This window comes from Homo sapiens, chromosome 8, assembly GCF_000001405.40.
Source record: "Homo sapiens chromosome 8, GRCh38.p14 Primary Assembly".
In the NCBI taxonomy this organism is placed as follows: domain Eukaryota; kingdom Metazoa; phylum Chordata; class Mammalia; order Primates; family Hominidae; genus Homo; species Homo sapiens.
Genome location: NC_000008.11, coordinates 68,997,337 through 69,021,899, shown reverse-complemented (window position 1 = coordinate 69,021,899; position 24,563 = coordinate 68,997,337). Strand labels below are relative to the sequence as shown.

At 36.9% G+C, this 24,563-nt stretch overlaps 1 long non-coding RNA gene across 1 annotated transcript in view, besides 1 other annotated feature; it reads left to right on the top strand.

The window, feature by feature from the left end:
• Positions 1-24,563, top strand: part of LINC01592 (long intergenic non-protein coding RNA 1592) — a 192,388-nt gene that overhangs the window by 82,291 nt on the left and 85,534 nt on the right. The gene's annotated exons all lie outside the window — the stretch shown is intronic.
• Positions 16,693-17,213: an enhancer, noted in NCBI's record as "OCT4-NANOG hESC enhancer chr8:69916922-69917442 (GRCh37/hg19 assembly coordinates)". NCBI's record gives its function as "activates a minimal SCP1, AML or CMV promoter by ChIP-STARR-seq in naive and primed H9 embryonic stem cells {active_cell/tissue: H9 hESC(naive and primed)}" and the evidence as "EXISTENCE:reporter gene assay evidence [ECO:0000049][PMID:30033119]".

Genomic DNA, 24,563 nt, shown 5'->3' with positions numbered 1-24,563 from the left:
TCATTTCGTTATGTACCCAGTAGTCATTCAGGAGCAGGTTGTTCAGTTTCCATGTAGTTGAGCGGTTCTGAATGAGATTCTTAATCCTGAGTTCTAGTTTGATGGCACTGTGGTCTGAGAGATAGTTTGTTATAATTTCTGTTCTTTCACATTTGCTGAGGAGAGCTTTGCTTCCAAGTATGTGGTCAATTTTGGAATAGGTGTGGTGTGGTGCTGAAAAAAATGTATATTCTGTTGATTTGGGGTGGAGAGTTCTGTAGATGTCTATTAGGTCTGCTTGGTGCAGAGCTGAGTTCAATTCCTGGGTATCCTTGTTTACTTTCTGTCTCGTTGATCTGTCTAATGTTGACAGTGGGGTGTTAAAGTCTCCCATTATTAATGTGTGGGAGTCTAAGTCTCTTTGTAGGTCACTCAGGACTTGCTTTATGAATCTGGGTGCTCCTGTATTGGGTACATATATATTTAGGATAGTTAGCTCTTCTTGTTGAATTGATCCCTTTACCATTATGTAATGGCCTTCTTTGTCTCTTTTGATCTTTGTTGGTTTAAAGTCTGTTTTGTACATATATATTTAGGATAGTTAGCTCTTCTTGTTGAATTGATCCCTTTACCATTATGTAATGGCCTTCTTTGTCTCTTTTGATCTTTGTTGGTTTAAAGTCTGTTTTATCAGAGACTAGGATTGCAACCCCTGCCTTTTTTTGTTTTCCGTTGGCTTAGTAGATCTTCCTCCATCCTTTTATTTTGAGCCTATGTGTGTCTCTGCACGTGAGATGGGTTTCCTGAATACAGCACACTGATGGGTCTTGACTCTTTATCCAATTTGCCAGTCTGTGTCTTTTAATTGGAGCATTTAGTCCATTTACATTTAAAGTTAATAGTGTTATGTGTGAATTTGATCCTGTCATTATGATGTTAGCTGGTTATTTTGCTCGTTAGTTGATGCAGTTTCTTCCTAGTCTCGATGGTCTTTACATTTTGGCATGATTTTGCAGCGGCTGGTACCGGTTGTTCCTTTCCATGTTTAGTGCTTGCTTCAGGAGCTCTTTTAGGGCAGGCCTGGTGGTGACAAAATCTGTCAGCATTTGCTTGTCTGTAAAGTATTTTATTTCTCCTTCACTTATGAAGCTTAGGTTGGCTGGATATGAAATTCTGGGTTGAAAATTCTTTTTTTTAAGAATGTTGAATATTGGCCCCCACTCTCTTCTGGCTTGTAGGGTTTCTGCCGAGAGATCCGCTGTTAGTCTGATGGGCTTCCCTTTGAGGGTAACCCGACCTTTCTCTCTGGCTGCCCTTAACATTTTTTCCTTCATTTCAACTTTGGTGAATCTGACAATTATGTGTCTTGGAGTTGCTCTTCTCGAGGAATATCTTTGTGGCGTTCTCTGTATTTCCTGAATCTGAATGTTGGCCTGCCTTGCTAGATTGGGAAAATTCTCCTGGATAATATCCTGCAGAGTGTTTTCCATCTTGGTTCCATTCTCCTCATCACTTTCAGGTACACCAATCAGACGTAGATTTGGTCTTTTCACATAGTCCCATATTTCTTGGAGGCTTTGCTAATTTCTTTTTATTCTTTTTTCTCTAAACTTTCCTTCTCGCTTCATTTCATTCATTTCATCTTCCATTGCTGATACCCTTTCTTTCAGTTGATCGCATCGGCTCCTGAGGCTTCTGCATTCTTCATGTAGTTCTCGAGCCTTGGTTTTCAGCTCCATCAGCTCCTTTAAGCACTTCTCTGTATTGGTTATTCTAGTTATTCATTCTTCTAAATTTTTTTCAAAGTTTTCAACTTCTTTGCCTTTGGTTTGAATGTCCTCCCATAGCTCAGAGTAATTTGATCGTCTGAAGCCTTCTTCTCTCAGCTCGTCAAAGTCATTCTCCATCCAGCTTTGTTCCATTGCTGGTGAGGAACTGCGTTCCTTTGGAGGAGGAGAGGCGCTCTGCTTTTTAGAGTTTCCAGTTTTTCTGTTCTGTTTTTTCCCCATCTTTGTGGTTTTATCTACTTTTGGTCTTTGATGATGGTGATGTACAGATGGGTTTTTGGTGTGGATGTCCTTTCTGTTTGTTAGTTTTCCTTCTAACAGACAGGACCCTCAGCTGCAGGTCTGTTGGAGCACCCTGCAGCGTGAGGTGTCAATGTGCCCCTGCTGGAGGGTGCCTCCCAGTTAGGCTGCTCGGGGGGTCAGGGGTCAGGGACCCAATTGAGGAGGCAGTCTGCCCGTTCTCAGATCTCCAGCTGCGTACTGGGAGAACCACTGCTCTCTTCAAAGCTGTCAGACAGGGACATTTAAGTCTTCAGAGGTTACTGCTGTCTTTTTGTTTGTCTGTGCCCTGCCCCCAGAGGTGGAGCCTACAGAGGTAGGCAGGCCTCCTTGAGCTGTGGTGGGCTCCACCCAGTTTGAGCTTCCTGGCTGCTTTGTTTACCTAAGCAAGCCTGGGCAATGGTGGGTGCCCCTCCCCCAGCCTCGCTGCTGCCTTGCAGTTTGATCTCAGACTGCTGTGCTAGCAATCAGCGAGACTCCGTGGGGTAGGACTCTCTGAGCCAGGTGCGGGATATAATCTCGTGGTGCGCCGTTTTTTAAGCCCGTCGGAAAAGCGCAGTATTCGGGTGGGAGTGACCCGATTTTCCAGGTGCCGTCCATCACCCCTTTCTTTGATTAGGAAAAGGAACTCCCTGACCCCTTGCGCTTCCCGAGTGAGGCAATGCCTCGCCCTGCTTCGGCTCGCGCACGGTGCGTGCACCCACTGAACTGTGCCCACTGTCTGGCACTCCGTAGTGAGATGAACCCAGTACCTCAGATGGAAATGCAGAAATCACCCGTCTTCTGCGTCGCTCAGGCTGGGAGCTATAGACCAGAGCTGTTCCTATTCGGCCATCTTGGCTCCTCCCCCGATTCAATCATATAATCCCAGCACTTTGGAAGATGGAGGTGGGAAGATCGCTTGAGGCCAGGAGTTTGAGACCAGCCTGGGCACCATAGGGAAACCCTGTCTCTACCAAAAACAAGCAAACAAAAAAACTAAACAAAAAAAATTAGCCAGGCATGACGGTGCATGCCTGTAATCGCAGCTACTTGGGAGACTCAGGCAGGAGGATCACTTGAGCCCAGGAGTTCAAGGCTGCAGTGAGCTATGACCATGCCACTGCACTCCAGCCTGAGTGACATAATAACACTCTGTCTCTACAAAAAAAAAAAAAAAAAAAATGCAAGTATGGTTCAATATTAATAAATCTATCAGTTTGATTCATCATATTAATAATTCTATGAAGAAAAACTACATATCAAATCTACAGGTACTGAGAAAGCATTCTAGGATACTCCATTTTTAATATTATAGTATTTATACCTCAGTCCCCAAGCTAGCATTTATACATAATGTGGAAACATCAGCTGCATTCCTGCTAAAGACAGGGATAAAACTAGAAACCCACACTCATTACATTGGCAGTGGTAAACAATGTAGACAGGAAGAAGATGGTGTTTAAAATAGTAACCCAAAAGATATGCCTTTATGATTACCATTTTAAATATTATCTTATTTTCTACTATATTGTTAAACTATGTGTGTGTACTTTTATATGTGTGTGTGTATACATACACAGATATAGAAAATGAGAGAATGAATCGAGAGATCAGAGAGGATGTCCAGTGACACATTGATAGATTATTTCTGATATGTGTCAGGAGGTATTTTGAAAAATTGTCACTTTCTTTTTTGTACTTTTCTGGATATCACTTGTGTTTGATTTTACAGAAAACATAATTCTTAATTTAATAAAATCTTCTTAGAAAAAGCAGTAATTCTTTAAGAATCTTTCAAAGTGGAATTATACAACTTTAGATACAGACTTGGAGGTAAAGTCAAATTATTCCTGACCACCAAATATAATATGATGTGAGATGATATACTATGATGGAGATATCTGGCATTACGTAACTGTCTTACTGTCCAAAGTCTTTCAAACATTCCCAAGGCAGTAAAAAACAAAATCATATCATCTTCACTTACTTTAATAGATGCTGCCTTTAGTTTTAGTTTGGGACAAAGAATAGACAATGGACTCCACAGTGTCACTTAAAATCCGAGTTCCATTCTTTTTTGAATCTGAAAGGATAGACTTATAGACTTAAACATTTATTTAAGTTGATTATGCAAAGAAGAGGCCCTGGAACCGTATTACTGGCACTAAAATCTTTTTCTCCTACTCTAGCTTGAAAGAAGTGATTTAATATTTAATTATTTAAAAAAATTTCAAATGTAGGGAAGGATTAGGATCCTTCCAGCACTTTCCATAGTTTTTCCATAAATAAATAATTCTATTCATTAGATACATATTTATTGATTTTCTGCTGTGCCAATCACTGTTTTATGCTTCAGGGATCCATGACAATTGAAGAGAGAAGTCCTGTGTAAGAGGGTATGGAAGGGGGAACTCACATGTACACATGTAGATGCCATACAGTATTTAAAGACACAAAGAAGAGAAAGGTCTTATACTGGAGTTGAGAGAAAGAAACAAGAAAAGAATCAATGAAGAATGCTGCTTGAATTCATTTTTAAAAGTTGAGTGTGGTTTTCAAGCAAACAGCAGAGTAAGTTGTATGTGCAAATCATGGAGATAAAGAACTAATAGATGAGTATGATCAGATTATATGCTACAAATTGAGAAAAGGAAGAGGCAGCTCAAGATAGACAAGAAAGTAAAGCCAGATCACAAAAAGCCTGGCTCTATGAGGAGAGCCCGTCAATACAGACCCTATTCTCTGGCTGGAATGACCTCCTTCTGATGCCTTGACCAGCAAACTTCTACATAACCTTCAAGACCCAAGTGAAAAATCAACCTTCTTTGAAGCTACCACTGACTTAGCACTTACAGCAAAGCATTTATCATATAAACATTTGCGAGATGACTGAAATGCAGGTCAGTAAAGTAAGGTGGAATATTATGGGAATATCAGAGATAAAATTTCACTTGTTAGACAAGGCTGTATGCTTAGTATAAAAACGTGATTGCTGAGTTGGAGCAAGTGAATTTCACTACTACTTTCAATGAGTAGGTTATGATTGAATGATTGTTAGAAAGACATTTGTTTCCCACCTGCTTTTACCCTTCAAAGACCTATTTTTCTTGGCAAAGTCACACCCGGAGATTTGGCTCCATGTGAGGTTTGCATTTTCATTAATTCTGAAAAAATATAGTCAAAGTTTAACACATGCTGAAGTGTTAGTTAAGTTTGCCCATTATATAGGCCCCAAGCACAGGTGTACTGAGTTTACATTGGTCATTATGTATGACATTATGTTATTTTAAGCAACGATACTGATTTTGCTGAAAAATAGGTTAAATATGTGTAGAAATAGCTTTGTATAAAGCTTTTTGGCTAAATTATTTGCTACCATAACCAAATCAACTATATTCTAATAAAATTACAATTCATAAGTTATTTGTGATAGAATTTATTCTATCCCTGGGAGGATTTAAACTTGTAACATTTTTGTTATGCAAACAAAAATGAATGAACACACAAGCTGAAACCTAGTTAAATCAACTACAACATGTAGACTCTAAAAGTTAAAGTTATTACTTGATCAGAAGAATAGGACTCTTATTTTTCAGCAACATTATTCAGCTTATACTTTGTGTTGAGCTCATAGCAGACACTTAAGATTAGTAAATGTCTGTGGAACCGAACTGAAGTATTAAGCACTATGGAGATGATGAAGAAATTAAGTAAAAGTCTACCGTCAAGGAATTAAACGTATGTTTAGAGATACTACACACAGAAATCAGAGGTTTCTAGACAGGGTAATCTTAGAGATTCTCTTGTCCAAACTCTTCATTTCACAATTGAGAAAGCATAAGCCCAAGGGGAGATGACTTGCCTAGACCTGGCCACGATGGCAAGACTGATGGTCATCCTGGCCTCCAAAGGAAGAGACACAAGGGGCAAGTGAAGTCACATCAGGGTCAAATGCAAATCAACTGATTTAGATTTTAAAAATACATAAGATGGGCTGGGCTTGGTGGCTGACACCTGTAAACCCAGCACTTTGGGAGGCCAAGGTGGGTGGATCACCTGAGGTCAGGAATTCCAGACCAGCCTGGCCAACATGGTGAAACCTTGTCTCTACTAAAAATACAAAAATTAGCCGGTCATGGTGGCAGGCGCCTGTAATCCTAGCTACTTGGAGGCTGAGGCAGGAGAATCGCCTGTACCTGGGAGGTGGAAGTTGCAGTGAGCCAAGATCATGCCACTGCACTCCAGCCTGGGCGACAGAGCAAGAATTCATCTCAAAAAAAAATTAGATAGATAGATAGATAGATAGATAGATAGATAGATAGATAGAGATATAGATATATAGATATAATGTGAGTCCAGTGAAAATACGGGACAATATTCATAGCATATAAGAGAGAAATAGCCTTGTAGCCCATCAACCCCCATGCTCTCCATCTCCTGTCCCAGTGCCTGTGAGAAACACAACCCATCCACTAGCATCCACAAACATCCATGCATTGCTGCTAGGACAACAGGTCAGGAGTTTCACTATAGATCTGAAGAGTTGTAGTTTAGGGGCCAAGGCACAGAATTGAAGGCTTCTCCCATCTCTTTCTTTCCTTCATCTTTCTCTCCCTCTTAGGGCCAAAACTAATTTTCGCAGTCTTTATTCTGAGAGGTGACATTGTAAAGATTTCTAAAGCTTTCTAAAAAGTAATTTACTATGCTCTTTAAGTTTTTATACTGTGCATATTATTTTATAATAAAAAATCAAAAGAGTAAAGCATCCAACTCAAAAAAATGAAATTAATTGGATTCAACTGACTTCATAGGCCATAACCAAATAAGGTTCTGTTTTTCAAAAATCACATGATGCATCCAACTGGTCTGTGTTTGTTAAAAGATTTAATATCAAAGAGTGGAATGCTTAATTGGTAGAAATTTCCCAAATTTACCCAACTCATTCGTTTGTTTTATTTTACAACCATTATGATCTTATTTATGACTCTTCCTTGTAGAGATTTTGAGAAGAGAAAATACTAAGGGAAGATACATTATAAGCAATTAGATATTCTAATTTGGCACATATTTTTAATTTTATTTTTCAGGGAACTGTTACACATAAGTCACTGTAATCAAACAATGTCTGATACTAAGCTGAGGGCTGTTTCTCTTTTACAACTGAGATAGGTAACAATTGAGTGACTTACTTCGTTTAGTAGTATGACCAGACACAAGTGTTGGCAGAGTGCTGAAGTGGCTGGTGTCCTGAGCAGTAGGAAGTTCTGCACAAGCAGCTTCTTCTGTCTGGGCTGGTGACCTAGCTAAGGATCCTGTAGTCTCTAGAAGTGTGCTCCATGGCCACACATGAGTGGTTTTTCATTCCTTCTGCCTGCCCTGTGGACCCCTGGTGTTGATATGGTAGAATAAATCTGAATTTTAAAAACTGTGTGTTGTGCCAGGAATGGTGCCTCATGCCTATAATCCCAGCACTTTGGGAGTCTGAAGTGGGAGGATGCTTGAGGCCAGGAGTTTGAGACCAGCCTAGGCAACATAGCAAGACCCTGCCTCCACAAAAAATCTAAATATTTGGTGCACACTGGTAATCCCAGCTACTGGGGAGGCTGAGGGGGGAGGATTTTTCGAGCCCAGGAGGTTAAGGTGGCAGTGAGCTATGATTGCACCATTTCATTCTAGCTTGGGTGAGAGAGCAAGACCGTGTCTTGAACCAAACCAAACCGAACAAAACACTTTGTGTTATGATCCATTAGTGGGTCATGATGTCAGTTTAGTAGATTGCAGTAAGGATTTTTTTTTAAGAAGAAAAATATAATAATGTCAATTTTCCTAATTGTGCCCAGTGAATGGGAAGGGACAAACAAGCAGATCTTCTAAATCTATTTATCTGTATTAGCTACAGCTGCCGTAACAAAATCTCACAGACTGGGTGGCTTAAACAACACAGATTTCTTTTCTTACAGTTCTGGAGGATGGAGGTTTAAGATCGTGATGTCAAGAGGTTTAGTTCCCCATGCGGCATCTCTCCTTGGCTTGTAGTTGTTCACCTTCTAGCCATGTGCTCACGTGGCCTTTCCTCTGTGTGTGGGCATCCCCGATGTCTCTTGCTCTTCTTAGAAAAACACCAGTTATGTTGGATTAGAGCCTCACACTTACCAACTCTTTTCACCTTAACTACTTCTTTAAGGGGTGTATCTCCAAAGACAGTTATACTGGGGATTAGGGCTTCGACATGTGAATTTGGGGAGAGGGACACAATTCAGTCCATCATACCACCCTACCTGTTCTCACCTAACACCCACTGCCCCACCCCCAACACACACACACACACACACACACACACACACACAGCTTTTACAGTAAATGCCAGCACCCCCAGTGTCTCTGCCACAGAACAGAAAAACATTTGTCTCTGGGTTAGTATAGGAAGAAATTAAACAAAAACCGTGAATTGAATTAAAACCAATGAACCTGAATTAACTAAATAAAATGTAACAATTGCAGATTTAATAAATTTTAAGAGAATTAAACACCAAGGTTACTTTTGATTATCTTAAACTCATTGTTCTTCCGCTCAGTAAAATATCTGCAAATGTATTCACTGAATTTAAATTTAAAAATTGCACTTTCAAATTTAGCTAATTCCAGATTAGCTAGATTAAAAACTAAAAGATTTCTTTTGTGTTCGAAACAAAGAATCTATGCACACTTGGCACCTGATTATCTTACTCATCTCCAAGGAAAAATAATTAGGAGGTTTTGTTTTTGTTCCTTTTTAATGAGAACCCTCAAATCACTGTATGATGTGGCACTATGATACAGTCATGATAATAAATCAATGTATCCATAAGTTAGAAAAAGCATTCCTAAAACAGATTTCAGAATTTATAAAAATTGAATGATAATAAATAAAGTATTATGAAATAATAGGAGAAAAATGAATTATTCAACAAACGATGCAGGAACATTAAGTAAATATTTAAAGAATATATACATAGAAAACATCCAGGTGGATTTAAAAATTGATTATAAATGAAATCATAAAATGTAGAAGAAAGTGGGAGTGAATATGTAATTGATTTCAGAGCACAGACAGACATAAGAAGTATTAAAAACAAAGAAAAGAATTTTCTAGGAAAATATTACTAAATGCAACTTTATCAAAATGAAATATTTCTATATCAAAAGCTAACATTAAATTGTAAGAAGGAGAGATTGAATGGAAATGTTTGCCTCTGTTTCTTGCCAAGATCCACTAAAATGACAGATTGCTAAAGGTAAAGAAACTGCAAACCCACAAGGACAAAGAGGAGTGAAGATGACAATAACAAAATTTGGATGCAAATTTTGGATGCAAAAGGATTATGAATAACTGCTTTAGTAAAATGAGAAAATGGAATTCTTTCAGCAGTAGAGAAAGCTGAGAGGCAACTTGATTTGTACTACAGACCCCCCAAAGTTCAGTAATTGATGGTACCAGGTACCCCTGAAAGTGGGAGTGAGGTTAAAGCTAAAAAGAAAGGGATGGGTTGAAACTGTGCTTAATAAGTAGTTGTCTTTACCCCCAACCACTGCCACTAGGAAAAGATCTGAGAAACCATTCCTTTTCTATCTGGTAGAAAGCTGGGGGTATATTCTCTGGAGAGCAAGAAAAGGTGTTTTCTAGATTGGAGGACACCAGGCACAATTGTAGGCAGAATTATCATGCGGAAAAGAGGCAGATTAAGGAAAGTATACACGTTGAATGCTAAGAAATTTCTCCTTCACCTCTTGCTTGGAATCAACTCACAGAATTTTGGCAGGCGGGACAGTAGATTCTTTTCAGTGGAACATTGAACAACTGAAGAGAAAAGCTAAAAGTGCTTACGTTGTGGGCTCCTCAATACAGCAACACCATCAGCAGCAACAAAATTAGCTCAGTCCATTACTCTACCGAGAAGACTACAATCGACCACCATATGCACAGAAAAACTTCCATCAGTGCTTTCGCACCTGCAACATTTTAACAGGCAACCGAAGAAAACTAGATATCCAGAGAAAACTCCAACATGAAACAGAAAAAGAAAAAAGCTACTCACAGACAACAGAGAGGATATACGAGGACATATAAACTTAAACAATTATATAGTTCTCAGAGGAATAAAAGAAGTATGGTCTCCAAAAAATGTCAATGGGATTGTATTTTTAAATTCTACTTGGAAAACAGGACCACACCAAGAAAAAAAAGTGTAAGTATAATAGCAAAAATTTTAAAAAAGAACAATAAAGATGATAAAAATCTTCCAGAATGTAGACAAGAAAGATAAGGAGATGAAACATAAGAGGGAAAATATAAGAAAATCGGAGTATTATTCTGGGATGCTTGATCCCAGAAAAAAAAATAGATATTAAAGAGAGAAAAAAGACAGAACAAGGAAAAAGAAGAGGAGAAAAATAAGCAAAATATTTCAGTGTTTTTTTTTCTAGGACAAGAGTTTCCATATTGAAAAAGCACATTGATTGTTTATTACAAATGGATAAATATGAAAACACACCAAGGTACAACATTATTAAATTTCAAGCACTGTGGACTAAAAGAAAATCCTATAGGCCTCCAAAAAAGGGGGGAAATTCAGATTATATTCAAAGTATAAAATAATTGTAATGAAGAGAAGCTATCAACAGTAACCATTGTAACTAGAAGAAAAGAAAACAATGCCTTCAAAGTTCTGAGGAAAATCGTAAATGGAATTTGTCACCTGCAGGATAATGGTCTGGGCAGCTTATTTCACCTCATTAGGGACCTCAGGATGTTAGTATCATCTTTAGTTTTACTCTTGAGCTGGTCAAGATTCCACAGAAAATAATTTTCCAATCTCCTGCCTGGAGGGTATTTCCTGGTAGCCAGAATTCTGTGAACTGAGTCCAGGAAATGAGTGTGCGAGAGATATCTCACCATTCAGTCCTGAAATACCTTCATATAGCCAGACTATTGATTAAGTGTGAGGGAATGATAAGGACCATCTCAGATATGCATCATTTTAAGGCAGTTTTCAATCAAAGCAAGGGATTAAACAAAGAAAAGATAAAGCACAGATTCCAGAAAACCATGGTTCAGATACACACTGGAGGTGGAGAACTCCCCCAGAAGATGACAAAAGAAAGGCCTGTGAGGACAATATCTTTACAGCAGGCCTAGGGAGCAGATGCACAGACTACAGCTGCTCAGAGGCTCTGGGAGAGATATCTTTTGGCAGATGAAATTGATAGGATATCTGTTATTTTTTAAGGTATTAGGAAGCAAGTTACACAACTCAGGGAAAGACATAAAATATAGAAATGTAAGCAAACAAAAAGCAAGAGATTTGTTTCTTCAGGAGAAACAAAAAGTTGTAATGAAGGAGAATAGTAATTATAGACTCTGTATACGGTTCAGCTATGAATACCATTGCACAGTCTTGATAATATAGGCGCTAAATATTTACCTGAGCAATATTATTATTGTATTTATATGGGTGGCTGAGTAGTATGAGGATGGGAGTGGAGGGTGGTGGGGCAGCAAAACAAGAGCTAAATCTTCATCATAGGGAGCCAAAAAAATAGATACTTTTTGATATATTTTTGTCGAGATTTGATAAAGGTTTTTCTAATAAAGATATTAAAAAATCAACAAATAGCATAAATATGCTATTTAGATATATGAATATAAATGCTAAAAGAGCTAATAAAAATATCTCTCTTAAAGGAGACATTTGTCATGAGAGACTGAGATAAAGAGATAGAAAGATACAGATAGATGATATATATAAATAGAATAAACTTTCTAGAATTTTTTAACCTTGTATTATTTGTATCAATATATTTGAAAAAATTAAAACTACATGTAAAATGTCTAGAAATTGTAAAGCAATAGAAGTGGATAACAACTTGTAACAAGTATTACTCAAGGCCAATATCTTTAGTATATAAACTATTTTTAAAATTAATTTTTAAAATCACTAACCCTCAAGTAGGGAAAAAAAATGACCAGAGGAGAGATAATTTACAGGGTAACAGATGTCAAAAAGCACAATCTTTTTAGTAATAAAAACTGAAACAATAATGAGATTTTTTTTTTTTTTTTACCTATCCAATTAGAAAATATTAACAGAGCACTAGTACTCTCCAATGAATGGTACAAATGCTCTCCCATAGGCTCTTTTATTGAATCTATGAAATGATTCAATCTTTCCCAAAAGGTATTTGCCAATATATACAAAGTATTTTTAAAATTCTTATGTTATTTAACTAGTAACTCAATTTCTAGGAATCTTTCCAAGGAAAATAAAATCAGAACTGTAAATAAAGTTTTATGGATTGGGAAGTTGGAAACAACTTCACATTCAAATTAATACCAATCTTTTTTCTTCATGAACATTTATCAAACATTATCATTATCAAACATTATTTATCAAGTCATTATCAATGACTTGTTCACTGTTCTACCTGTATGTTATATGCTATAAAGTGCAAAAGTAAAAAGAAAATGTTTAAATACATATAAATCATATTTTTATTAAAAAGTCAATGAAGTGAAAATGTTCATAATTGAAAAAGCAGCCATATGTATGATATTACCCAATTTGTAAAAAGTAATTGTATAAAAGTAAAAAAAAGTTATAGAATCTTGTGTTATAGCAATGCATTACATTTATTTTATCATGTTATCTAAAATAATTATATTGAAAAAATGATATTTGTGTAGCAAGTTTGACCAGAATTGTTTCTATCAAAGGCATATCTTATTTGGGTCATTGTGTAACCACTTTCCTTACATGTTTATTTTCTGGAATTTTCCCAAATTGCCCTGCTGAACACATGAATTGTTACAATAAAAATATGGGACATCAACAATGTTACTAGATTACCAAAGAAAAAGCAATGGCTGTTTCTCTTTTACAGCTGAGATAGGTAACAATTGAGTGACTTACTTCATTTAGTAGTATGACCAGAAACTCTCACAGATAAGGGAATACAAGATGTGATTACAAGAAGTTGGAAAGAATTCAGATTTCCATCCCCAGAGGAGTCAATGAGCAAAATGTGGTTCTGTTTAGGACAAAACACTTTACGGCAGTCACTAAGTAAAAGTGACCAGTGGATTAAAAAGAAAGAAAGAAAGAAACAGACAAACAAAACCACATTAGATTTATAGCACAATATCATATATGAAAAAACTAATAAAATACATACAAACAAAATAACATATATTATTCAAAGATGTGCATATATTTCATTAACACATAGAAGGTGGATTAGCAGGACAATGTTAGGTACACTAGAGTGGTTGTGTATGTAAGAATTGGGAGTAGAAATGAAAATGGGGGTGAGGAGGAAAAACTAATATAAAACAGAAGAGAGACCTTGAAAGTGACAAATAATGATTGCATGCCATGGATTGAGGATTATAATCAACTTATTTCTGTGAACCTGAGATCTCTATTATATACATAACTACGTAAAAACTTTTAGCCTGTATTTTTAGTAAGCACAACAGATGATTCATAAACAAGAGGGCTACAGGCCACCCTTTGGCAAACACTGAACTGTAGGATGAAGTCTGAAATGCTAGGCCCCATGATGCTGAGCTCTTTGGGTATGGATTTGGTCAGACTCCCTAGATAAGCTCCCTATTTTAAGGCCAAAAAACATGGAAATTTAATTACATCCACAAAATCCCTTCATAGCAGGAGCTAGATCAGTGTTTGATTGAACACCTAGAAGAAGGTTTGTGTACATCAGAGACCAGGAATCAGGTGGGGAGCAGGGGAGTTAGAATTCAGCTACCACGGAGGTGATAAGCAGCATGACATGTTTGTAGGAGAAATCACAAATAATTAATTCTCACAAAGACTCACTTGTCTAGCCTGGAAGAAAGCAACCATCTGTGCTGTGAACCTCCATTTGGCAAAAAATCTGAGGGTAGCCTCTAGTTGCTGAGAGTGATTCCTGGCCAACAGCTAGAAGGAAAATGGAGACCTCAGTTTTCCAGCTGCAAAGACATGAGTTCTGCTAACAACCAGTGCTCTTGGAGGAAGACCCCCAAACCTCACAGAGAACTGGGGCCCTGCCAGCACCTTGATTTCAGCCCCTGAGAGGAGAATCCAGCAGTGCTATGCCCAGACTTCTGACTTACAGACACTGAGAGATAATTAATGTGTGTTGTTTAAAGCCACTAGGTGTGTGGTAGTTTGTTAGGAAACAATAGAAAATGAATATCACCTCCACTGATATCCCTGTTCACCTCCTCTACTCAGCTATCTCAATTTTCCATTAAGACTTCAGATCCACTTCCTCCAAAATATCCTTGATGTATTCCCACCTCTTGTCCTACAATATGTGTATTTTATCATTTCACTTATGATAAATTTTTTAGTAATATTCATATGACTGTCTCTCCTGCAAGTCTATAAACTCCTTGGGAACACAAACTACCTTCTATTTGTCTTTGAATCCTTACTCTCAAACACAATGAATGGCACATCCTAGATGGTGAGTAGATGCTTGCTGAATAAATAAATAAATAATTAATTAAGTCAATAAGAAAAAAAAGCCAAGAAAACATAAGATAAAACTCAAGTTTCTGTTGGGTGACCAGAGGAATAGTAATTTTATTGACTGAAGCTAGGTAGGATGACCATATAATTTACTGTCCAAATTGGGGCACTTTTGTGTAAAAAGCTATTAAAATTATTTAAGGATTTCTGTTATTTAAGGACTATTCCTGTCAAAATGGAACGCATGTTCTGGCTTCTCCTAAATATAGAGATACTAGAACAAGCCCTATTGTTGTATAAAAGTCTGCTTACTTTCACTTGGCAAGGCAGCACATTTAAAAACACCTGGTGTGCTGGAATTGAGGATATTTTATTTCTTCAGCTTAATTTCCTTCTCTGCCCCACATATCCTACTTAGGTCTGGATTCCTCTTAAGTTCCTTGTTTCTTGGGGCTACCAAAGAATTGTTTTCTTTACCTTACTCCTCAAATTATCCCTAACATTGAACATTTACAAGGTAGACATCTGTATAATTATGGGAAAAGTACAGCTCTCAGTAAAGGTTAAAATTGGACAGTTCACTACACTCTACATGCTCCTGGGCTGTGAATTGGCAGGGAATGAGTTAGGGAAGGGTACTAACATTGCGAGGGAATTTTCGTTTGTAATTCCACCATGATTACTTCAGGCTGCGTAGTGTATTAAGGACTATATTTTTATATAAACAGGAGACTGGCTACAATAATAACAATGACAGCTAGAGCCTGAGTGCCTGCCTGATATTTGTCAGATAATTACTGAATAATATGTATTAGTTCATTATGTATCTTTCCTATATTATTCTCTAAACTCTTCTGCATGTTTGAAATATCTATACTTAAACTGCATTTAATTTTAAAATATTATGAATTAGATAGTTAAATATCATGATGATAATATGGCCATTCATTTTACATTTAGATGTATTACCTGATCTAATCCTTATGAGAAATCTCAGTTTTGTCATTTGTTGTTTATGTAAGTTTGGGAGAGTTTCTACTCCTTTTTATTTCAGTTACCTGTCTCTAAAATAGGAATGATGATATAACTTACTTCATAGAGCTCTTATTAGGATTAAATATGCATAAGTCATTTAAAAATAATCTGGTATATTGTATAGGCACTGAACAAGAGGTTTAAATCATTATTGTTATAACATTCCATGTTTTAGAGGAGGTTACTAAAATTCAGAGGTTAAGTAGACCTGACTGTGAAGCCTAAAATTTCTCAGTCTTAGTACAGTGCATCCCAACTATCTCCTTACATAATGGTAAACTCATTTACATTGTAGTAGGAGATGGTAACAGTTACAGATTGTATTTTCCAAAGACAGTCAGACAGGTGCTTCCAATCTCACATCTTCTTATGAAATGTGACTTCACTCTTCTTCCATCCAGAGATAGAGTTTATTTCTCCATTCCCTTAAATCTTGGTGGGCTCTGTGACTGCTTTGACTGACAGAATATGGCTGAAGTGATGCCTTGCCAGTTCTGAGTGTAACTCTTAACGGCTAAACAGCTTCTTTTTTCTGCCTCTTGGCACTCGTGCTTTTGGGATGCTCTCTCTTGGAACCAACAGCCATGCTCTAAGAAGCCAACTCTAATGAGAAGCCATGTGTAAGTGCTTTGGTTGTTAGCCAGCTGAGCTCTCAGCCAAGAGCCGGCTTCAACTGCCAACCATGTGAGTGTGCCATTTTGGACATTCTCAGCCATCCAGCTCCCAGATCACTGCAACCCAAGACAGCGTCACATGAAGCTGAAAAACCAGTCACTCATAGAATTGTGAGAAATAATAAAAACGTTGTTCTAACTCTTTAAATTTTGTGGTGGCTTGTTATGTAGGAACAGACAACTAGTCAATCAGTATTATATGTCTATCATCATTTACACAAAATTTCAGGGGTGGATCAGAATCCTATCTCTGTGATAAAGCGTTGTTTCTCTGTGAATATGTTTTCTAGATTCTAAATAACTAGCATATAAATCAGTTTTGGATAATTTATTTGTAGGTTTGGCACAGTCTATATCAAAATTTGCCCAGGACTTACTGAACACTTGATTCTGGCAGGTAGAGCTCACCGTGAGAAAAGCTAAGAATATGAATTAGACATGGTTTGTTACTGAAATTCAATATCATCCTATTTTGTTCTGCCTTGACATTCTTCTCTTCCTTTTTTTGATCTTTTGAAGTCTTCCTGCTATATAAGCCTCTCCAACCAAGACTCATCTTAGACTGTCTCAGATTCCAGACCTTTTCTTCCCCTCTCAGACACACCAAAACCTATTTTCAGTGAACTTGATGCACTCTAATAAAGGATGAATAATGAAATGTTACTGAGATTTGCATCATATATATGTAACCCCCTTCAGACATGTTTGCATTTCAATAGGGACTACAAATTCAATTCAAAGTAATGAATACCTAATGGTGAGGGTGAATGGAATGTTCTTTAGGCTGAGGGCCTGATCATCATCTCTATTCAGGCCATTTATGCAGACACTAGTAAAGTCTGTAAGACAAACCCAATAGTGGGTATAATACAAATATATATACTTAAATCAAAGCACTTTGAGAAAAAAATAACTAATTTATATAATAAGTCTAGTGTCCACTATAAACATTTTGTTTTCCTTTGAACTAGTAAACTTTAGTTTATCCAATTACACACATTTGTAAGTTAGGCAAATTCACTTGAATTTCTATAAGGATGTGCAGATTTCACAAGATATATTTTTTGGCAGAGACCCGGCTTCACACACTGATTTACATAATGACAGTTTGAATTAAGACAGAGGATCTGAAGCCAACCACTAACATTCCTGTATAAAAAGACTGCAAATGACATCCTGATGAATGTATGTTAGTGGCTCTCCTCTGTCCTTAACTGATAGCTCTCTGTTAATCAGCTATTTTATCAATGTGGCTGCTCATGTCCTCAATAGCAAAGAGCCAGTCATTATCAAATTCATCGATTGGGTTCTAGTTGTAGTTCTATTGTGAAATTTATCACTTATTACCTCAAATTAAATACTCCATCAGCTTCAGAATTCTGTTTCCCTAAAACTATTAACTAAGGCAGGTTCCTGCTGGAGAATAAAACTATGTGAATTTTGAACATGTTTGTGAAATTCTGGGTAATTATCTCCTACATAAAATGATTATCGTAAACTAAGGAGCCTGCTTCTTGAGCTTAAAACATTATTTATACTGACAAGTGGTATTATCTACATTAAGGAATTGATTAAGGACAATTACTTTCATGGACATTAATCCATGTTGAGAGTTTAAGTATTTGAATATGTAATAGGCTCATATGAAATATCACAGATATACTTTTGAATAAATTAACAATGTAACAAATGTTGATATCAAAAGAAACATTATTCCAGACAAAACCTTTAAAATGTAGGTGTTAGTCTTTGAGAATCCCAGGAAGTTTTCTTGGGTACAGTCAGTTGATGGTCTAACTTATTATATTCTAATTTCAATATTTCCAACTGGTTTTTTTAAAAAAATTCTGCCAGTTGCTATATACCATTTCACTTTGGGTGAACATTTCTTAAAGATTAATCTAAATTACCTGGGTTATGATTTTTTAAGACACATGATGACAAAATTATAAATCAAATATTTAACCTCAATAGCTTAACTTTTAAAGTAAATTTATCTTAAATTTGCAACTGCTATGGTTTTTATGACAAAAATATGAATGTATCATTCACAGTGTGAACTTTGAATAAACTAATCTCAAAATATGGTAAGAACTAGAATGAGCACTTCATGATGTTTTCTATGTAAAAATTTACAATTGGAAGCTATTACATGGTTTTCTAGCAATCAAATATCAGAGTGGATCAAAGGTTATCTGGGGTTAGATCAGCAGCTTCCCAAGAGAATGTAGGTCTCTAACCTCATTGAACAACCTCATGTCCAGGGAGTCTTCCTTCTTATGGATGTTTCGGGTGCCTGTGGAGCCACATATCTTTTGTAGTTCCACTGACACTCAACTAAACAGCTTTTAACTCAGCATAGTACTTCTTGCTTCACTATGGTCTTTAAATTAGAAGTGTAATAGGCTCTTTCATTATGGGTTTTAAACTTGCTATTTATTTTACAGGTTTATGTGATCACCACTGTTTGTTATATGTTCTCTGCCTTCTTCATTACTCTATGTTGATTCACTTTTTCACTGACTATTACACATCCTTAGGTAGCTTTCTGAGAAAAGGTCTGTCAAGTGTACACTTTAAGAGTTTACACATCTTAAAATATGCTATTTTAAATGTTCCATCATTTTACCACTATCAGAATTATAAGCTTGTTTGTTGTAATATTTTGTTCTTTCCACTACAGATATGCTTAATAAAATTCCTGCATACCATGTTATGATGGCACTTCTAAATTTCTGTGTCCTGTTCTTTAACTAAATATGTTGTCCCTATTAGTGCAAGTGGCAGTCATAACCTTCTAAGCAGATTCCTTTAAAAAGCAATTTTCTTGGCTTTCTTTTTAGTCAGAATTTTAATATTCAATTCATAGATTTTTCTAAGCTCTAATACAAACCTTGATATTTTAAATTCCAAATTTGCTTACCACCTAGATAATGTACTAACCTATTTAACACTTAATGATTAGCTACAAAGTAAAAATTTCTGTCAAACTATTACCAGAAAGTGGTCCTGATCCAGGCCCCAAGAGAGGGTTCTTGGATCTTGCACAAGAAAGAATTTGAGGTGAATCCATAAAGTGAAAGCAAGTTTATTAAGAAAGTAAAGGAATAAAGAATGGTTACTCCATAGGCAGAGCAAGAGCATGGGCTGCTCAGCTGCTTATACTTATTGTTACTTCTTGATTTTATGCTAAGCAAGGGATGGATTATTCATGAGTTTTCTGGAAAAGGGGTGGGCAGTTCCCAGAACTGAAGGTTTCTCCCATTTTTAAACCATATAGGTTAACTTCCTGATGTTGTCATGGCATTTGTAAACTGTCATAGCACTGGTGGGAGTGTGTTTTAGCATGCTAATGCTACACTTAGCATATAATGAGCAGTGAGGATGATCAGAGGTCACTTTCATTGCCATGTTGGTTTTGGTGGGACTTAGCTGGCTTCTTTATCACATGCTGTTTTATCAGCAAGGTCTTTGTGACCTTGTGCCAACCTCCTGTCTTACCCTGTGACTTGGAATGCCTAACCTCTTGGGAAAGCAGCCCAGTAGGTCTCAGTCTCATTTTACCCAGCCCCTATTCAAGATGGAATCCCTCTGGTTCAAATGCCTCAGAGAAAACATTTAGACTTTTTTTTCCCAAAATGTAAATAGAGTTTTAGCTCTGAGCTAATAAAAGAGAATTAAGGTCAGTCATGAAATGCAAGAAATAATTTTTTCTCTAATTTTACTAATTATTATTTTAATTTTGATTTTTACCTGTCTGATAAGCAAAAACATGTTATATCTCTTCCAGTTGAGTAAGCCATGCTTTGATTACAGGTGAGCTGAATCACTTTCCTCATTTAATTGGGCATCTATACTTCTCTCAGTGAATTTTTTTATTTTTCCATTTGTCCACTTATTTATTGTGGTGTTCACATTTTCTTTATTGATGGGAAGAATCTTATCATTTATACAGATATAACTGTTATGGATTACATGTGTTCCCCCCAAATTCCTATATGGAAGCCTTAACCCCTAATGTGACTGTATTTGGGATAAAGCCTGTAAAGAGTTTATTAGGGTTAAGTGAGGTCATAATGGTGAGTCCCTAATCCAATAGGACTCATGTCCTTTAAAGAAGAGGAAGAGACATTAGGGATGTGAGTGCATAAAGAAAAGGCCACGTGAGGACACAGCAAGAAAGTGGTCATCTGCAAGCGCAAAAGACAGGCCTCAGAAGAACCCAACCCTATTGACACTATGATCTTGGACATCCAGCCTCCAGAACTGTGAGAAAATACATTTCTATTCTTTTTCTCTATTATTTAAGATACATAGACTGCAGTGTTATGTGTCTAGCTCTAACAGACTAATAGAGTAATATATTATCCATTACTGTATTGCAATCCATTTTTTTCTAGCTTACTCATGGTATTTCAATTTTGTTATGATAATTTCTTCAAACTTTTAAAGTAATCAAATCTATTAATGTTTTTCTTCAAGGTCTTTACCTTTGGATTTATGCTTAGAAAGTTTTCTCAAGTTCCAAGATAGTATCAATATTCATTGTTTTCTAGTGCTATTGTGATTTTATCTTGAACATTTAAATTTAAGTTAGACTTAAATCTTTCTGCATGTATAATTCATTTTGCTGTGTGATACACGGTAAAAACAGATTGTATTTTTTGGCTAAAAGTTCATTAATTATTCCAGCATGATTAAACGATTAATCTTGCTACCAATGCAAAGTGCTAATTTCTTACATATTGTATTTTTCATACTTTGGTAACTTTGTGTCCATTGACCTGTATTGATGTTAGCATCACAATCATATTCTTTTGATCCTTGAAATGTCATAGAATATTATGACACCAAGGGAGGGAACAGAGTCTTTTCCAGGGGCCACTGCCATACTCACACACCTTGTTTATCCAAAATTATTCTATTTTTACAATTAAATTTTTTTCAGATGAAAATTTAATCATATGGTCATGATCTTACAGTAACTACCACGGGATTTTTTTTTTTTTTTTGATTCAACTAAATACATATGTCGTTAGAAGAGTAATGTTACCTTCACCATTTTAAGTCTTCCCATTTGGAAACACAGTATGTCTTCCATATTATTCACACCTTCTTCACATTCTTTAGTAAAATTTTACTGTTTCTTTTCTTTTTTTTTTGTTTGAGACAGCATCTCACTCTGTCGCCAGGCTGGAGTGCAGTGGCAGAATCTCGGCTCACTACAACTTCCGCCTCACGGGTTCAAGCCATTCTCCTGCCTCAGCCTCCCGAGTAGCTGGGACTACAGGCACGTGCCACCACACCCAGCCTGCCACTTCAGGAAAAATTTACTAAAAATTTTTGCATTTTTAGTAAAGACAAGGTTTCACCATGTTGGCCACGATTGTCTCGATCTCTTTACCTTGTGATCCCTTCGCCTCGCCTTCCCAAAGTGCTGAGATTACAGGCATGAGCCACCATGCCCAGCCAAATTTTACTGTTTCTATTACAGAGGTCTCATGTAATTCTTGTTATATGTATTCCTAGTGTGTCCGGAATTGGTAGGTTCTTGGTCTCGCTGACTTCAAGAATGAAGCCGCGGACCCTCACGGTGAGTGTTACAGTTCTTAAAGATGGTGTGTCGGGAGTTTATTCCTTCTAATGTTCAGACTTGTCCGGAGTTTCTTCCTTCTGGTGGGTTCGTGGTCTCGCTGGCTTCAGGAGTGAAGCTGCAGACCTTCGCAGTGAGTGTTACAGCTCTTAAAGGCAGCAAGTCTGGAGTTGTTCGTTCTTTCACACCTGTAATCCCAGCACTTTGGGAGGCCAAAGCAGGTGGATCACAAGGTCAGCAGATCGAAACCATCCTAGTTTACACGGTGAAACCCCGTCTCTACTAAAAATACAAAAAATTAGCCAGGCCTGGTGGCAGTCACCTGTAGTCCCAGCTACTCAGGAGGCTGAGGCAGGAGAATGGCGTGAACCCAGGAGATGGAGCTTGCAGTGAGCCAAGATCGCACCACTGCACACCAGCCTGGGTGACAGAGCGAGAGACTCTGTCTCAAAAAATAAAAAATAAAAATAAAAAATAAAAAACTATGCACATTGTACATAAACCAAAGGTAAGAAAACTCTGAAAGGTAGAGAGAAGAAGGCAGTCCAGCTAACAGCCCTAGGACTCAAGAAATGACATGCTGATGAGTTTTGTGTAATTTTTTTTTGAGACAGTGTCAGTGTATTGTTTTGTCATCCAGGTTGGAGTGCAGTGGCATGAATGCCGCTCACTGCAGCCTTGAGCTCCCAGGCTCAGGTGATCATCATTCCTCAGCAGCCCAAGTAGCTGAGATTATAGGTTCACGCACCAGTCCTGGCTTCTTTTTTTTTTTTTTTTTTTTTTGTAGAGGGATGGTCTCACTTTGTTGCCCAGGTTGGTCTTGAACTCCTGGCTTCAAGTGATCCTTCCACCTAGGGCTCCCAAAATGTTGGGATTACAGGCATGAGCCACCACACCTGGCCCTGGGTTTTCTTTGTGCCTGAAATATCTCAGACTTTATGCTGATGAAACTGGCAACCCTAAAATACCAAAAAATGCAGACCAAGAAAAAGATTCTAAAAAAGAGCATTATCAAAAATAAAGTATCAAGAAAAATTAGAAAATACATTGTACTGAAAGAAATGAACACACATTTCAAAATGTATAGGGTGCAGATAGGGCAGTGCTAACAGATTGATAGCACTAAATATATATACTAGAAAAAAGTCAAAATCAATAAGCAAAGTTTCCACCTCAAGAACTTTGCAAATGAAGAGCATAACAAAACCAAAAGAAGCAGAATGAATGAAATAATAATAATAAAGCAGGCTGGGCGTGGTGGTTCACACCTGTAATCCTAGCACTTTGGGAGGCCGAGGCGAGCAGATCACTTGAGGTCAGGGGGTCAAGACTAGCTGGTCCAACACGGTGAAAACCCATCTCTACAACAAATACAAAAATTAGCCAGGCCTGGTGGTGGGCACCTGTAATCCCAGCTACTTGGGAGGCTGAGGCAGGAGAATCTCTTGAACCCAAGAAGGCAGAGGTTGCAGTGAGCCAAGATTGCTTATAGGATTGCTTATAGGAAACAATTCACTCCAGCCCTGGGTGAAAGAGTGAGACTTTGTCTCAAAAAGAAAAAAATAAAAATAAAATTAAATAATAAGAAAGCAGAAGCCAATGAAATTGAAAACAGAAAAACTATCCCTTTATGCAACTGTGAAATGGTTACATTGCTGTATTGCATTATTACATTGAATTTAATCAGTTCTGTGTTACTCACTTTCATACCTTCAGCCTAGGAGCAGAGAAGAAACCATATTTACTCATCATCATGTAAGTCTAAACTAGCAAAACACTTTTTACTTCTGAAAATTGCATTAATTTTGTTTACTGGGAAACTTTAATGAATGACGGCCTCAGGGGGAAAAATATGTAAAATGTAATACAACAGTTAGATTTAACTGAAGATTATTATAAAATACATATAAATGGTACAGTTAATAAATATAAAAGAATGCAAAGATTAAATATTCTTTAAAAGTCTAACCATATTCTGTTAATAAGAGATGCATCTTATTCAAAGTCATATACAGAGGCTAAAAAAATGTTGGAAGAATATACCACGTAAATACAAATTGGAAGGGTATTAGTAGAGCAATATTAGTATTAAACTGAGAAAGCATTAAGGTGAAATCATTGCTAAAGAAAAAAGTCACTTCATAAGACTTATATATACAAGTAAAAATTATTTTATATTTTATGGCTTTGGTAACACAGTTTCCAAGTATATCACGGAAAAAATGATGGAACTACTTGGGGGAATAGGCAAACCTATTTTTTAAAAAAGGCTTAGCATCAGCTGGGAAGATTTGAACAATGTGATCAGCAACCTAGATCTGATGAACGTAGGTCCTTATGCTAATTAACTTTCTTTCTAAGCAAATCATAATATTGCTAAAAAATTACATACTTTGTCTCAAAAAAAAACTACAACAAATGTTAAAAGAATGAAAACAATAGAGCATACCCTCAAATTATAAAGCAATTAAGCCAAGAATTATGAACTACATAATTAGAAAAAATATTTTAAAACTTGTCAACATTTATTTTATTATTTTTTTTGAGACAGGCTCTCACTCTATTACCCAGGCCAGAGTACAGTGGTTATCTTGGCTCACTACAGCCTCATCCTCCTGGGCTCGAGAGATCCTCCTTGACTCAAGCATTCCTCCCAACTCAGCCTCCCAGGTAGCTGGCGCTACAGGCATGTGCCACCACACCCAGCTGATTCTTTGTATTT